The sequence below is a fragment of the Homo sapiens genome, chromosome 9 (assembly GCF_000001405.40).
Source record: "Homo sapiens chromosome 9, GRCh38.p14 Primary Assembly".
In the NCBI taxonomy this organism is placed as follows: Eukaryota; Metazoa; Chordata; class Mammalia; order Primates; family Hominidae; genus Homo; species Homo sapiens.
Window position 1 is genome coordinate 32,399,782 of NC_000009.12, and position 18,006 is coordinate 32,417,787.

Here is an 18,006-nt window from a genome sequence, read left to right on the forward strand (position 1 = left end):
TAGCAAAACAATGTGAGGTCTAGTGATTTTTTTTTTTTGAAAAATTCAAATGCGTTTAAAAGTCATGGTAAATGAAACTGTAAATCATGGTATTACAAAGGATTTTATTTTGTTCTTTTTGCTCACCTGCATTTTCTGTTGTTGCTACAGTGAGCATCTATTTCTTTTATTTTTTTCTTTTTCTGTTTTTTTTTTTTTTTTTTTTTTGCGATGGAGTCTCGCTGTGTCACCCAGGCTGGAGTGCAATGGCACGATCTTGGTTCACTGCACCCTCCGCCTGCTGGGTTCAAATAATTCTCCTTCCTCAGCCTCCTGAGTAGCTGGGACTCCAGGTGTGTGCCACCATGCCCGGCTAATTTTTGTACTTTTAGTAGAGATAGGGTTTCACCACCTTGGCCAGGCTGGTCTCAAACTCCTGACCTGAGGTGATCCGCCCATCTCGACCTCCTAAAGTGCTGGGATTACAGGTGTAAGCCACTGCGCCTGGCTGTATCTATTCCTTAGTGTAATATTTTTTAAAGTTACCACCACCCAAGAAGATGTGGTTCAGTAACAAATTTGGTATCCTGCTGAGATTGGAAAGGGAGCTGGGGATGGGGTGGGAAGGGAGGGCCCCCCTTGGATTAGTGTGTTTGACTTGAATGAGGTGTGGCACTGTTCATCTAAGGCTAAATTTGAGCCATTCAGGGATTCTCTTCACAGCTCTTTCTCTCTGTTGGTGAATATCAAAGGACATATTGAGGGGAGCAAAGTGGACTTTATCTGGAGTTATAGTCACAAATTTAAATACATCTTCACCAGTCATTATTAAAGAAAGATCTGCATTTGTAGTTCCAGGAACTTTACGGACCATTCTATCTTTCTTTCAAAGGGTATTGCTGAAGATGTCAAGTTCTCATTTTATAGAGATGCTAATGTAGGTATTTATGTACAAAGTTTAAATGACCGCTCCAGTGTTTTAAGAAGTAAGTAGTAAATGAATGCATGCTTATCAAAAATAGAATTTGAATAATACAGGAGTATGAAACATAGAAAGCTAAAGTCTCCCCTTTATACAATGTGTTATTCTATTTGTAATCCATGTTAACTTTATGTCTTTCTTTTTTGTGCATTTGCATATGCAATGGTGTGTGTGTATGAATGAATATACACTAATGGTCTTGAAGTTTTTTTTTTTTTTCACTTAAATCAGATCCTAGTATATACATATATATATTATTTTGCAACTTTAAAATTCTCATATCATTTAATGTGAGCCTTTACTAACATTTTGTATCTTGAATCTGAGTAAGGGATTGTATACGCAATATTATATCAGGAAAATTGATTTGCCCTTACTGTGGCTTTTGGAAAAAAGTGGCACCCAGGGCAGATCATCAGAAACCTAAATTTAAGTTGTTTTTCCAAAGTTTAGCTGTCAGTTCTCTGGAATTCTGAAACACATGGAAGTTTTAGTAAGTGATTATAGAACTAACATCACAGAAGCACCAAAAGACTGTGATACACCTAGGTAGTACTTTTTTCAACTCTACCTGTGAAAGATTTTAAGGGTTTTTTTTTTCCCCCTGAGGGAAATTTGCATTTCACTGGAGGGCAAATCAGCTGTATTTTTTTTTTTTTCTGGTTATCCCACTAATGAGTCCTGTGACCCTAGGCAGTCAGTTGCTTTTCAGGGCCTCTCTGTCTTCCTCTGGGGAATGCTACATGATTGCTAAGGTTCTTTACTAAAAACTCAACATTCTATGTCTCATTACCTCCTTAGCACCTAAGGTCAAGGTGTCCCTAGGGAATGGTGACAGGTTGGTGCCATGCCTTAGTGCCATGCTATGTATGCACAAAAGGTGCTACTCCAAGGCACCTGCAAGTGTCCTCAATTGAGCCAAAGGTCAGTTGGTAGCAAGACTGTGGTTGGGGAAAAACCCTAGCTCTTCACTCCTCCCACCCTTTTACTGGGAGCATGGCTCATTTGTTAAATGTCTTACCCTAGTTCTGCCTGCCTTTGCATAATATTTGTTATTTTTTAGTGACCTACTTTAAAAATCTGGTGTTCAGACTGTCCATGCCCACCCCCGTTCTTGCATGCAGAGTGTACCTGTGCTAATCATAACCCTGTACAAGTCACCCAGCTAGTATTTCAGGATGGGTTAGCTTTGAAAGACACTGTTTCTCTACCAAATAATTATCTTGACTTTCAGAATGTGAACTACATGTAATGAAGGGTTTCAGATACAGTAGCTCCGTTTTTATTCCTTTTGTTTAAGAACTGTTCATCTGTCTTCCTTGATTCAGTGGCCAGGGACAAGTGTTCAGCTGTCTTCATCATTCTGACAAGCGTCCCGGAGGGACAAGTTCTGAATAATTGCTCCCACCTTGTACCTTAAAAGATACCATTTCCCATTCCTTCCTTCTTTTTTTTTTCTTTTTTCTTCTCCTCTTTTCTCTTCTTGCCACCATGTAGTATCATCTCATTCTATAGAACAAAGAAAGCAGCAACCCCAAATAGTGTGATATATGCTAACTCTTCCCTCTTTCAAAAAAGAAAAACACCATATATATTTAGATACTCTGCCATCTCCAAAATGTCCACATTCATTGTCTTCGTTTGTTCATTCCTATCTTTTATTGTTGAATGAAGATCAGATAAAACAGAAAAGAGCCAAGAACAAAGTAGCAGGAGGAGAGAGTGGGAGATAAGAAAGGAATTGAAACAGTGGGACCTGTGCTTTATGTGGATGTGGGACATAGGGAGGGCTTCCTGGCCAATGGTGGGGTTCCTAGATGAAACCCCAGATCTTGGAGGTATTTTTAGAGCCTGAAGGACCAGTGATAATACTCAAGGATTAGGGATGGGATGAGTGTCTGGCCAGGGAAAGGTAGGCTTAGGAGGTATGATGCCTGGATTCTTCTCTATATCTGGACCCATTACCCAGCCAAAGATCTTTCTTCTCACACCTCTTTGAAACATGATTGTTTTTGGCTTTGTCTTGGAGTTACTAAACCAGGAGATTTGAGACAAGAATGATAGTATGGGTGGAACCTTGAAGTGGCTCCAAATTCCGGAGTCCTCTAGGCTTATATGGAGGGCCTGTTTTCCAAACAAAGCTAGTCTTTGGTTGCTGAAATGCAGCTGCTATTACTTTCTACTGACCTGTGGCTCAGCACAAAGTGGCAGGAGACAGGTGACAGTGCCTGGCTCAGACCTGGTCTTGGGGCCCCCTGGAAAGAAGTAAAGGCAACTCCAGCATTCAAAGTTGAGTCTCTTGTGAGAGGATTTCCCATGACTTTCCCAGCTTTAGGGGCTAGTGGGTGACCTCCAACAGCAGCATCGTCAGAACAGGGTGGCTGCACCTAGAGAGGTGGTGTTGGGTGGCAGAAAGAGCCAGGGTTTGAAACCTAGCTCTGCCTCTTACTGGATGTATGCCGTTACGCAAGGTTTTTCATCCCTCTGAGCTGCGGTATGCTTATCTGTACAATGGAAATAATGATAGATTTCATTTACGGAGATGTTGCCAGGTAAAGAAGATGGTGTAAAGCACTTGGCATGTGCTGGTATAACTAACTGGTTCTTCTCTTCCCTTCTGCAGATAGAATTTACTTCCTTCATATAGTGAAACTAGACAGTTATCTAGCTTCCAAGGAAAAAGGGAGGCAAATGGTAGTGCACTTTAAAACAAGCCATTTTCTCCAAGAGCCACCATATTGGTCACTATATCCATCCCAAAAATACCAACTGACTTTGTAGGGTGGTGGGAGTAGCAGGAATCATGTGAGGCTTCTTGTGTTATGCCCCAGACATTTGTAGCTACAGGGAAGTAAATTGACACATTTGGTCCCCACTGCATAATGGCAGATAATAAGTACAAGTTAACAACTGGTTTAATCCAAAAATTTTGGGAGACTTGGGGCATCTGGCTCCTTTAGGATTCGACACAGAGATAAGGATGATTCAGACACTTAAGGCCATTGAAAGAGGTGAATGACCCATCTTGCTCAGTCCCGTGAGCGTTTCCCACCACTTCCCCTGCCTGCAGAGACTCTGGCCTCTGTTGAGATAGTCTTCTGTTTTTCCAGGCAGGCAAAACAGCAGTTTTATTGTTGCAGTTGCTACTGTTTGAGGGTGAAAAAGGTAAGTCTGGGGAGTATAGCATGGGTGACAAATGAAAGGGAGAGTAGCACTGTTGCCTTTTTAAATATATTCAGAATTTCAGCCAGTGGAATTATTAGTTTCATTTTCTGAGCCCACAGATTTGTAAACTTCTCCTTCTGCAGATAAGCTAGCAGGTTTCTTATTTATAGGGCTTTCCCCTCTCCTGATTGGCTGCTCATTGAGTTAGAATTAGTCACAAATCTCTTGAATTTGTGTGGCACTTTATCCTATATGCACTCTCACCTCAAAAACTAAAGCCACCATCTTCCCTCCAAAAGCAGTCCTAATAGCCTTCAATTCTCCATGCCTGGAGTTAAACCTTATTTCTTCTCCCCATAGATTTCCCCCCATTCACCCAGCAGCCATTTTCTCTAAATTTTGCCTCTTCAGCTTTTAATCCCTCCGCCCCTTTTTTCCATTTCAGTTTCTGCCATGCACTTGCCCGCCTGGTTACCTGCCACCTCTGGTCGAATAGGGCCCACAGGTGTGTTTGGTTTTGCCATCATGCCACAGATCCACACAGTTTAGAAAAAATTAGTTGCCAACTTTTATAAGCCAAGAATTCATATAAAAATCTAGATTACCAGTCTCACTTGGAAAATTAGATGATCTCTCAACACTGGGCAAGCATTCCTTCATGCCCTCTCGGCTGGAGCCAGGTGGCCTCTGCCCCCTTAGATGGGCACAGATCACCCAGGCTCTTTAGTCCCTGTACAGCCTGCCTCACATACACAGGTCTCTTCCTGAGCCCTGGAGGCATTTTGATTGTGACTCCCATTTTAGAATGTGCCCTCCCTTTTTCCATATCTTCTGTGCTGCCTCTCTGCTTCCTGAATTAAGTTTTAAGTGCCTCACCTGGTGGCACTCCACAGTGCCCACCAATGATTCTCAAGCTGAACGTGTGTCAGAATCACCTAGAAGCTTGAACAGGTTCAATGGGTGGGGAGGGGATACTCAGGAATCTATATTTTTAACAAGAAAGAACCCTGGATAATTCTAATGCAGATGGCCTAGGGTATATACCTTTATAAACACAGTTACGGTGTATTCCAGTAGCCTTTGCTGCCCATTCTTTAGTTTCAGTTTCAGAACTCCCAGAGAAGGAAGTTGATTGGGCCAGATTGGGTCAGACACCTTTCCTCTCTCCCAACAAATGGCAGCTGCTGCATACAGCATGTGAGACGTAGTTCCCAGGAAAGAGGCGCTGGGCAAACAGCCTGGCTGTCTCCTCTTCAGTGTCTTGCGCCCGTTACCGGTACCTGTGGCGTGTCCTGTCGCCTCCTGCACTAGCAATCCAGGAAGACACAGGCTGCTTCTCAATCAACTGCTTCTCCCCAAAACTACCTCGTACCTACCAGACTTTGGACAGAGGAGTTGTGCAAATGTCTATTTCTTTTAAATTTTTAACTATTTTTTTTAAAGTTCAGTGTGTACATAGTTAAAAATGCAAACAATACTAAAAGAAACATAGTAAAAACTAAGCCTTCCTCCCAGTCCTGATTTCTAGGTCCCAGACCTCTTAAAAAAAGAATTTAAATGTTCTCTTTTCTTTTCAGGAACACGTGGCCATCAGTAATCATGAGCAACCCATTCGCACACCTTGCTGAGCCATTGGATCCTGTACAACCAGGAAAGAAATTCTTCAATTTGAATAAATTGGAGGATTCAAGATATGGTAGGTACATGGCTGTGATAGCAATTGGAATCTCATTTGCACAATGATTAGGCTATGTAATTAATTACACTTGAGGAGAGTTTGAAGAGGGAGTAGCAGAGAATGGGTGAATGTTCTTGGATTAAGTGCACAAGCACTCACATGCCTTTCCTACATTAGTCATTTTTAAGTAGGTGATAATGATTACATACATTTGACATTTATATAACACTTTATAGAGTATACATTTGTATCGTATCATTTAATCTGAATAACAACCCTATGGGGTCATGTTTATAAAATATAAGAGGTCCTGAGGAAGCTAAGGCCCAAGAGTCAATGACACATGCTCAGATCACAAGTATGTGGGTTGTAGACAAGCAGGACAAGAACACAGTCTTTTTTATTCCAAATTCCGTCCTTTTTCTGCCTTTGCACTGTCTTTTCCAGATAAATTTCCAGATAGTATTGCTTAGTAATTTTCACATATCAAAATGGAATTTTTATAAATAAACAAAATCATTTTTCTTATGAATTAATATTGTTTTATTTTAGGAACTCCAGTTACCACTGGCCATGCTGCATAGTGTTTAGGGTTTTGTTTCCTTTGAAAGATGTACGTGCATATACTTTGGTCTTAATTACAATAATTGTAAAGGGGTTATTTTCTCATTTCTTGAGCATTAGTTTCATAAGGACTATTACTCTGTGTGTATATATACATGTATAAATATGTTACTTGTCAACATTTAACATAGGCTGCGTGTGTTGGCTCATGCCTGTAATCCCTGCACTTCGGGAGGCCAAAGCAGGCAATTGATTGAGTCCAGGAGTTTAAGACTAGCCTGGGCAACATAGCAAAACCCTGTCTCTACAAAAAATAGAAAAAAATTAGCTGGGTGTGGTGATGCTTACCTATAGTCCCTGGTATTTAGGAGGCTGAGGTGGGAGAATCACTTGAGCCAGGGAGTTTAAGGCTGCAATGAACTGTGATCACACCACTACACTCCAGTCTGGGTAACAGAGTGAGACCCTGTCTCGAAAACAAACAAAACACATAATACAATAAAAATCTAGACTGATGGTGAGATGTGATGACTTAAGGGAAACTGTCTGTTGTTGGAATCCAGGACAAGACAACCATTTAATACCAAAGAATAATATTTTATTTTGGCCTTGTGTGTAGTGTTTTCTACCACTGAATATCTCTTTCTTTTTTGAAACAGAGTCTTGCTCTGTCGCCAGGCTGGAGTGCAGTGGCATGGATCTTGGCTCACTGCAACCTCTGCCTCCTAGGTTCAAGCAATTCTCTTGCCTCAGCCTCCCCAGTAGCTGGGACTACAGGCACACGCCACAATGCCCAGCTAAGTTTTTTATTTTTAGTAGAGATGGAGTTTCACCATGTTGGTCAGGATGGTCTCGATCTCTTGACCTCATGATCCGCCCGCCTCAGCCTCCCAAAGTGCTGGGATTACAGGCATGAGCCACTGTGCCCAGCCCTGAATATCTCTTAAACCCATTAAATATCCATGTATTTTAAACTGTTGGTCACTTTACCCTCTTTCCTTGTGGAAGAATAGTCTGATGCCTCATATCAACTTTATATAGAGATTGGCCTTAAAGAGCGCTCTTAAGTTGTCTCACAGGTTTTGTTTATTTTGTCATCCTTAACTCTTAGGGCGCTTACCATTTTCGATCAGAGTTCTTCTGGAAGCAGCCATTCGGAATTGTGATGAGTTTTTGGTGAAGAAACAGGATATTGAAAATATTCTACATTGGAATGTCACGCAGCACAAGAACATAGAAGTGCCATTTAAGCCTGCTCGTGTCATCCTGCAGGACTTTACGTGAGCCTAATGTCACTTCACTCTCCTTTGCCTCCCTCATTAGCCTTTCAAGAAAGTTTTCTTTTAAACAAATGAAAACACTCTGCAATGACTATATACTTTATTAATTTATGACTATATAATATTATATACCCATATCCAGACACTTTTGAAAGCTAAGGGTGTCATTGCCCCCAGCAGCAAGAGGAAACCAGGATTGTGTCCAGCAAACTGAAACACGCCACTTTTTCTAATAGGAAGGGTCATTATCCTTGCTCTTAAAGATCCTAGTCCTGAGTATCTTAGGGAAAGGTCAAAGAAATAGCATGGAATAGAGCCATCTTGGAATCTTTTCTTTCCCACATTGTATTGCCCAGGAAACCAGGTGTGTCAAACACTTGTACTTGAAACACTGATGTGCTGTCTGCAGAGGGGAGATGATGTAGCTCACATCACAAGTCTTGACCATAACTGTTAAGCCTCAGTTCTCATCTTGCTATTTTTAGATATCCTTGCTCCCCATTGCAGCATCTTTGTTGAGATACTATATTTCCATTTTTAATTGATGTTATTTTATTCCTTCTAGAGACCCAGTTTCATTTTTCTAGAGGAAGATCACCAAAATGTTATACTTTTAAGCGAAAAAGAGAGATTCATTTAACATGAATTTGATTCACAGCCAACTTTTCTGAATTATATCCATTCCTTGAAATCTGGTCAAAACTGAAAAGGTGTGATCTGAAAGTCTTCTCCAGGTCTTTGTCAAGCCACCATGTGAATGGGAAGCACTCACAGCAGTAAGAGTTCCAGAGTTGTTAAGTGCCAGCTTTCCCATCATTGCTGTATTTAGAACATAGCCGTTATTAAATTTAATACGGTGATAACATTGTACATAGAGATACCACCCAGTCATGGTACTTACTACCTATGTGATTTCTGCCTGAGGAAATACGCTTAGAAACTTTCACTTTTCTAAGTCTCACCCATTGTTAGCTCCTCTGATGAGGTAGGGCCTTGTCAATATTATCAATGGAGGCAAAAGCTGAAAAATCCAGTTACACACATTTAAGGCTTATTTTCTGCATTATTCTCTTTCTTCTCTTAGGGGTGTGCCCGCTGTGGTTGACTTTGCTGCAATGCGTGATGCTGTGAAAAAGTTAGGAGGAGATCCAGAGAAAATAAACCCTGTCTGCCCTGCTGATCTTGTAATAGATCATTCCATCCAGGTTGATTTCAACAGAAGGTGAGAGATTAAAACGAATACCTGAGTGTTCTGCTTTGTGCAAAATCTTTGAACACGAATCTTTTTAAAATGTGTATATGTAGTTAAAGAAGAAAATCTTTCAAAGATATCTTCTGAAAAACTTAAACTTCATATACATTTCGCAGTAAAGATGTTTTAGGGGGAAGAGTGGGTGGATTTTTCTTTTAATCTTTTTTTATTTGTTTTTACTTCTTGGGTGGGAGCAGCCTGCATTTGAATCTGACTTGAAGTCTAGGTGAAAACACACACACATGAAGTTCTGCCATGAGAGCTTGTCAACACAAGTATATGTCAGTGCAAGTATATGTTTGAGCTTTTTCATCCACTGGAAGCTTACTCCTTTTTTTGATCCCAAGTAACTGTTGCATATCTAGCGATCTCTGCCTCTTCACGTGGGTTTCCATAATGCCTATCCCTTTCTTTCCCTGTGTTTCTTCTTTTGTTTGGGACATCCTCTCCTCTGTTCCTGCCAAATCTTACCTGTCCTTCAAGGCCAGCTTAAATCTTATTCTGTTAGGAATCCTTTACTTTCCAGCCTACGAAGCTCCCTGTTCTTCAGTTTGCCAGATGATTTAGTGTCCTGAGTGGGCCTGTAGCCCTTGAAGGGAAGTTGTCACTTGAGTTGACTTGGTAAGTAGACTCTCAGCTCCCTGAATGCAAGAGCTGAGCAGATAAATAGGCATTTAATATCCTAAATTGAGTGACCTTGAAATTATTCTTCGATTAAGTGAGAATCTTGGTAAGCCTGAATATAGACACCTAATGGTCTATGACACCTTTAGGTGGGGAAAAACTAAACAACTCTGAGGATAGGTTTTTTGTTGCTGTTTTTGTTTTTTTAAATCCATCCCCACATCCTTAGCATCCAAAGGTGTGCATATTAAAATGTCTTCGTTGGCCACGTGCAGTGGCTCATGCCTGTAATCCCAGCACTTTGGAAGGCTGAGGCAGGAGGATCGCTTGAGCCCAGGAGTTTGATACCAGCCTGGGCAACACAGGAAGACCATATCTCTACAAATAACTTTTTAAAAATTAGCCATGTGTGGTGGTGTGTGCCTGTGGTCCCAGCTACTTAGGAGGCTGAGGCAGGAGGATCACCTGAGCCCAGAAGGTTAGGCCATGCATACCAGTTGGGTGACAGAGCGAGACCTTGTCTTTAAAAAAAAAAAAATCTTAATAAAATGTGTTACAAAGAAGAGAACTGAACATGTGAATATGCAGTTGTGAACTAGCAACTTAGGCCTGACCTCTTAACAAACTTTGAAAGTGAATACTTCTTAATCAAAATATGTGTACCATTTGTAATCCTAGCCCATTGAAGAGATGACTAAGTTTTGTGAGGTTAGGAGCCAAGTAGTAATGGTCAATTTTCCTGACTCAGTTTATTTTAATGAGCTTTTATCCCTAAATCTCACTCTCTAAAAGCCTTTGGTTTACGTTGGAAGTATTGGGAGTGAGTCTTTGGGTTAAAATGGCATCAGGATATTAAACATTGTTATAAAGCCCCAGTCTTTTGTAAGATACACAAAAAGGCATAGAAAATAGTAGAATCTAAGAGAAGCACTTAGTGATTTGATAAGGCCTATAAGAGTAGAGTACCTGATGGCCGGGCGTGGTGGCTCACGCCTGTAATCCCAGCACTTTGGGAGGCTGAGGTGGGCGGATCACAAGGTCAGGAGATCAAGACCATCCTGGCAAACATGTTGAAACCCCATCTCTACTAAAAATACAAAAAAAAATAGCTGGGTGTGGTGGTGGGCACCTGTAGTCCCAGCTACTTGGGAGGCTAAGGCAGGAGAATGGCGTGAACTGGGGAGGCAGAGCTTGCCATGAGCAGAGATAGTGCCACTGCACTCCAGCCTGGGCGACAGAGCAAGACTCCGTCTCAAAAAAAAAAGAGTACCTGATGAAGTTAAACTTGAAAAAAAAAGAATCTAGTCATCTTTGCCCTTTGGCTCAAAATGGTAATCAACAGATGGGAATGAAGTCAGAAGAAACTCTACCATTTGTCCTTTTCTCCAAAAGGCAGAATTTGTACCAGCCAAAACCGTGAAGATTTCAATGTAGAGATGGGTGTAAAAAAAATCAGCTATTGCTGTATAACAGTCCCAGAATCTCAACAGCAGTCAACAGTAAGAATTTATTTCTTACACATCTTCTAGTTGTTTGGGAGGTCAGCTGACCTAGGTGAGCACAGTCAGGAAGCTCTGCTTTGCACTGCAGTAGCCAGGTTGGGAGCTTACACTGAACCATACATCTGCAGGGCAGCCGGGACAACTCTGTTCCATGTGTGTTTCTTTTGGGGTCCAAGCTAAAGGAGAAAGCAGCTGTCTTGTGACCACAGAGACTCAAGGGGGCAAGTGAAAACACACAGTATCTCTAAGGCCTAGCTAAGGACCAGCACAGCATCACTTCTGTTCACGGTGCCATTGATCAAAGCAAATCACATGGTTGAGCCCAAAGCTGGAATGGGGAAATACAGTCCACCCGTCTTCGGTGGAAGTAACTTCAAGATTACACCACAAGGGTTTTGATACAGGGAGGGCAATCAGGTATTTTTAAGAGGCTATTATCTTAACCTAGAAGTATGACTACCTAAAGTTGTCAAAACAACTATCAGTGGGAGAAATAACTTTTCCATATACAGTGCTGGAAATTGATTAGTGGAGGGAGCAGTTCTTATGAATGTTTAAAAGTTTTAGAAGGAAATGTATGCGTGTCAGATGTCTTGATGAGACTAAATTTAGAAGCAACGAATGAAACACGGAAAAAAGGTATAGATTTAGTTACTGCAAAGTTAAGAGAAAATAACTTGAAAAATATGGCAAAGTGTTAATATACTTAATATATGGAGTGTCTATAATCCATTTAGAAAAATAATAGGTCCCTGAAGATAAATGGGCAAAGGAAAGTGGACATTTCATAATAAAAGGAAATGCAAATGGTAGTAAACAGTATATAAAGGTTTTTCAATCTCACAAGGAATAAAAAAGTAAATATTTGAGATGTCATTTTCTTATCAATATAGTTGAGATTAGAAAATATTAATTATGAAGGTGTTATAAGGGAGACACTTTTATACACTGCTGATAGCACTATAAATTAGAAATGAGGATTAAAGCAATATGTGTTAAGACCTTAGAAATTTCTATATCCTTTGTCCTGGAATTCCTACTTCCAAGCATACCCTTTATATCATTTATTTATTTATTTATTTATTTTTTGAGACAGGTTCTCACTCTGTTCCCTAGACCGGGGTGGCGTGATCACAGTCCACTGCAGCCTTGACCTCCTGGGCTTAAGCAATCCTCCCACCTCAGCCTTCCGAGTAGCTGTGATCACAGGCATGCACCATTACATCTAGCTAATCTGGATAGCTGACTTCAGAAAAAGCTTAATGGCCAATAATGTTTATTAAAGTATTATTTATAAATGAAGCCTAGAAACATTCTAAATGTCCAACAAAAAATGCTTTATTAAATTACGGTATACCCCTGAAGTGAATCATTAGGTAACCTTTAGAGTTTAATTTATGAAGTCTTTAATAACACTTGGAACATGATCACATTGTAGCTCAACGAGCGAGATGCTACATTGCATATGTAGAGTGACATAAGCTACATGGAAAATGATGCAGGAATTAAAAGATTGGAAAGGGTGCCAAGTTGCTAAGCAGTTATCTCAGGGATTGCAACTGTCTTCATTTTCCTAATAAGAAGCTATTATTTTTATAATTAAGTCACTTAAGAATATGAAACCACTCAACGGGAAACAAAAACACCTTTATTTGCTTCCTTGGGGATGTAACTGAGTTCCTGGCAGCCTCAAAAGAAATTTAGAAAATGATCTTTCTCCAGTTAATATTGCTAACATCCAAACCAGATAAATTCAGGATAAAGAGAAATCTACTTTGTCCCCTGAATTGATGGTACTTGGAACAGACCATGTACTCGCCAACTCTTCCCTTTCCTTTGGACTCTGAACCTGTCCTAAGGCAATATGTCTTCCCCAACCTTCCTTTTTTCCTAAATCACGTGAACTCAGTTTAATGTTTTGGTTTCAAATGGAAGAGTTTAAAATATATGCGTAAAATGTTATCCTGTTTGAGATAGGATAAAGACCCACTTCAGAAGTTAGGAAAGTAGCCATAAATTCATGCCCAGTTTCATCTTTCTTGGAGTCTTTCATTAATGTTGATGGGTTTACCTTCATTTTGCTTGCCTAGAAGGTGAAAGTACAGGTAGAGACAGAATTGTAATATAGTTTTCATGTCTAAACTCTATTGACTCAAAATTCAAAGAGCTCATGGCTGTTAATGCATCTTGAACTTGGGTCATCACCAAGTTCACTGTAATTTTTTTTTTTTAGACCTTGACTCTAATCAATTGTGGTTTCAGTTTTTTATAGACCTTTTTCATTTACACCATGTACTGAAAACATGAAAAACAGCAAAATCCAAGGGTGAACTTTGACCTAGATTGATAACCAAATCTAGCAAACCCACATGTATATATAAAATCAGAGTGAACACTAGCCGGGGCGGTGGCTCGCCCCTGTAATCTTAGCACTTTGGGAGGCCAAGGCAGGTGGATCACGAGGTCAGGAGATCAAGACCATCCTGGCCAACATGGTAAAACCATGTCTCTACTAAAATACAAAAAATTAGCCGGGCATGGTGGTGCATGCCTGTAGTCCCAGCTACTCAGGCGGCTGAGACAGGGGAATCGCTTGAATCTGCAAGGTGGAGGTTGCAGTGAGCTGAGATTGTGCCACTGCACTCCAGCCTGGCAACAGAATGAGACTCTATCTCAAAAAAAAAAAAAAAAAAAATCTTTTAGAAGTGTTTTTATTGGTGGTATTTTGTTTTTATTTCTTGAGTTGTGGTTTTGCAATTTAACCTCATGATCTCTCTCCTCATTTTTGTAAGGAATTAAATGTGATGTCTCAACTCTGTGAAACTGTGTGCTGTGGGCTAATTTCCAGCTCTTTCTGGAAATGAGTGAGAAAAACTGGGTAAGGGGTGGTAGAGTGGTAAATGTCTCAGTTAAATGTTTGTAAGCTCTTTGCCTAGTTTGAATAATACTAATTAGCTTCACACCATCTTTAGAAGTTGAAGTTCTAATACATTATTGTGATATTTTACAAAGTTACCTCACCTTTTTTTTTTGTTCCTCCAACAAGAATTTCATAACAGTGACTGGGCACGGTGGCTCATGCCTGTAATCCCAGCACTTTGGGAGGCTGAGGCAGGGGGATCATGAGGTCAGGAGATCAAGACCATCCTGGCTAACACGGTGAAACCCCATCTCTACTAAAAATACAAAAAATTAACTGGGTGTGGTGGCAGGCGCCTGTAGTCCCAGCTACTTGGGAGGCTGAGTGAGGCCCGGGAATGGCGTGAACCCAGGAGGCGGAGCTTGCAGTGAGCCGAGATTGCGCCACTGCACTCCAGCCTGGGCGACAGAGTGAGACTCCGTCTCAAAAAAAAAGAATTTCATAACATTTCTGACCAGATTTCATTAATGTGAAAACTATCTCCATGTTAATACTGTCCGTGAATTTCTGGAGCTCCATTAAATGTAATTCTCAGAAACTGAACTACATTCAATTCTGAATTCAAATGAACTAAGAAATTTCCTCTTTAGTCCGTGAGGCCATTCACATTTAGAGACCTTATTAAAAGCTCACTAGATTAGACTAATTTAGGGAAGTTCTGAGTGGTAGAAAATTCTGAATGCTAGGTCTATTCATTCCAGTAACTAGAACTAGGCTAATTGAGCCAAGCTCCATATAATAGATGTTTTGTTTTCCTGAGTAAATAGGGTTTTACCTGGAATTACTGTATCATGAAACAGTCTAAGCATTTCTGGCTTCTGCACGTCCTATGAACATGTCACTTCCATCAAACTGATACCCCCAGCATTTTCTGGGGTAAACATTCCTCCGTCAATCATCAGTCATGCTTCTGCTGTGAGAAGCTCTGCCATCCTCCTGGTGCTGGAGGGTGGAAGATCAGGGACAATGACTAGGAGTCCATAAGTGCTCACAGTATAGCAAAATAGATGGGGAGGAGAGGCAGGGGCCACATGTGGTTATAATCTTACCTGTAGTGGTAGAAATCAAGGTCAGAGATGCTTTCCTTTTTTAAAAAAATTAAATCCATTTAGCAGATCTATTATGTGCCAGTATTTATTCCAGAAACAGATTATAGTTTAGAAGGGGAGAGAAATTAGTGAACACACAGCTTTCATGCAGTTGATAAGTGTAGTCACCACAGAGAAGGGGCAAATCATCCTGACCTGGGGAGTCTGTGGGTTTTTCAAGGAGCGTCACCTGATCTGGATCCTGAGCCTGTTTACCAAGGAGAGAAGAGCTGAAAAAGACCTTCCACTCAGAGCAAATAGAGCATGCAAAGGCACGAGGAAAGTGGGGGTGGGAAGAGCATGCTGGCTACAGTGTAGCTGAAGCTGAGAGCTTGGACTGGAGGCTAGGAGAGGGCTTATAAAGGATGGCTGAGGTCAGGTTGAAGGACTTAGGTTTTTAAGACAAGGAATTTTTACTTTATAAGAAAATGGGAAGCCATTGGTAGATTCAGACTGGTGCATGATGATTTATATTTTAGAAATGATTGAGGTGACCATACCAAAGGTAGATTGAATGGCCTCACAGGGCAGCTGGTTGGGAGGCTATTTCTGGAATAAATATCTTGATAGCTATAGGTACTAAGTGGTGGGAAAAGAGCTCATTAGATATGGACAGACAGGGAAGAGGAACAGATTTAGGAAAGAAAGCCCAGCATCAGGGTTTGACCCATTGAGTTGATGGTGCCTGAAGTATTCTTGGTGCGCATGCCCGAAACACACTGGAAACATAGATCTGGACGTAGAGACAGGTGGGAACTGGAGTGATGGAGCCCTCAGCATACTATTAAGAAGGTCGAGATGAGTACCTTGAGGAGCAGCTGTGTCTCGTCCAGAGGGTCCACAGAGTCTGCTGATGCCGGTGTCGGTGCAGGTGTCCTGCCTTGTTCTGCTATCCCGGGGTCCCTCCTTTCTCTCCCTCTTTTGCTCTTCTCGAACATGTACACACACAAATAGACACTCATTCACTCAGGCAGGGATCAGCAGACTTTTTCTAGAAAGGGCCAATAGCAAATACTTTAGGCTTTGCTGGCCACATGCTGTCTCTGTCACATATTCTTCCCCCCAACACCCCAGCCTTTAAAAATGTAAAAATCATCCTTCATTTGAGGGCCAAGCATATATGGGCATTGGGTCACATTTGGCCCATGGGCTGGGTTGTAGACCCCAGCCCATGTTAGGCAGTCTCAGGAATTGATCCTACCTATTAAAGCAACCAACACTTGTCTTGGAGAATATTCATATCAAGAGAAAAAAAATCTGTGTGGTAACCAAATATGTTTTCTTTTTTTTTTTTTTTGAGATGGCGTCTTGCTTTGTCGCCCAAGTTGGAGTGCAGTGGCGCGATCTTGGCTCACTGCAACCTCCACCTCCCAGGTTCAAGTGATTCTCCTGCCTCAGCCTCTCGAGTAGCTGGGATTACAGGCGCCTGCCACCATGCCCGGCTAATTTTTATATTTTTAGCAGAGATGGGGTTTCACCATGTTGGCCAGTCTGGTCTTGAACTCCTGACCTCGTGATCTGCCCGCCTCAGCCTCCCAAAGTGCTGGGATTACAGGTGCGAGCTACTGTGCCCGGCTCCAGATGTGTTTTCTATGAGGTAAATAACACATGCTTCCGGTCCCTTTTTTCCCAAGGAGTGTCTGCCCATCTTGCTCGGGCTGACTCACCGTCATCCTTCAGACCACATTGATACCATGTCCTTCTGGAAAGCATTCCAATCCCCCCAACCCCCACCCCCAGGTGGGTTCATGGCCCATTCCAAGTGCTCCCGTACCAGGCAGTGATGATTGCATTCTTTTGCCATTGCCCTTTCACCAGACTCAGAGTGCCAGTGGGCAGTGAGCACACAGCTTTTGCACCATTGCATTTTCAGCATGTAGCATGTGGCAGGCTCTGGGGGAGGGGAGGATCAGAGTGAGTGAGAAGCAGAGTATCATGGTCAAGGTAGAAACCCCCAGGGCCAGTCAGACCTAGGCTCAGATAACAGCACTGTGTTATCGTCTAACTTTGGACAAATTTAACCTTTCTGTGCCTCAGCTGCTGCTTCTGGATATTGAGGATGACAGTAGTATTTACATGAGGGGTTGTGATGATAAGTTCACATGTGTAAAGCTCTGAGCGCCCACAACGTAATGTTGTCCTTTAGCTCTTGCTGTTACTGTGGTGGTGTTAACTACCACTGCCACCATTACTGCCACAGTCGCTGTTAACTATGACGGGAAGTCCATGTGGTATAGGGATTAAAGGATAGTGTCAACTCGGGAGTCAGACTGCCTGGGTTTCAATCCCAGTTCCACCACTGACTAGTGTCTGTGGTCCTGAGCAAGTTTCTTAACCTCTCTGTGTCTCAGTTTCCCCACTTGAAAAATGTGGCTATTAGTTGCACCTAACTCAAAGGGATATTATGGAGACTAGATGAGAAAATTAACACAAAGCATTTAGAATAGTTGCTGGTTCCTAGTAGTGTCAAAAAGTGTTAACTACTGGGTACTAGGAAGTAGTTATCCAGTACTTCATTTATTAATGAAGTCTGACTTTGGTCTTAGCTATTAATTTTACTAGCCTTTCCTGTGTTCACTCAATCCTATGATACATGCTTTATGAGCACATTCTGTGTGCTGAATCTGCGATCTTGTGACTATGACTTATTCTACCTTGACTCAAAACAATGCAGTTTGATTTTTAAAATCCTAGAAAATCTTGGTGCCCTGTGTTGTCCTGATGGACTGAATGACGTTGAGTAAATCTTAGCGTATAATCTGTGGTTCACAGATGTTATCAAGTGACACCATCTTCCTCATAAACCTTGGTCCTACACACAGGAGATTGTGATTCTATAAGGTACTGATCCTCTAAGCATTGCTAGTTTTCTGTCTCCCAACATAAAGAGATGAAAATACCAGCCCAGACACATTCCAGGTCAGAGAGATGTTATAATGAGGTCATGGATGAGGAGTATAGAAACAAGAGTT

General features: G+C 41.4%; 1 protein-coding gene across 4 annotated transcripts in view; it reads left to right on the plus strand.

Moving 5' to 3' along the window:
* Positions 1-18,006, plus strand: part of ACO1 (aconitase 1) — a 70,127-nt gene that overhangs the window by 15,139 nt on the left and 36,982 nt on the right. For all 4 annotated transcript variants that reach the window (NM_001278352.2, NM_001362840.2, NM_002197.3 and 1 more), the window contains 3 exons: positions 5,704-5,822; positions 7,480-7,648; positions 8,733-8,870. In NM_001278352.2, the coding sequence (NP_001265281.1) occupies positions 5,726-5,822; positions 7,480-7,648; positions 8,733-8,870 (404 nt within the window). In that variant the 5' untranslated portion in view covers positions 5,704-5,725. The remainder of the gene's footprint in view (positions 1-5,703; positions 5,823-7,479; positions 7,649-8,732; positions 8,871-18,006) is intronic.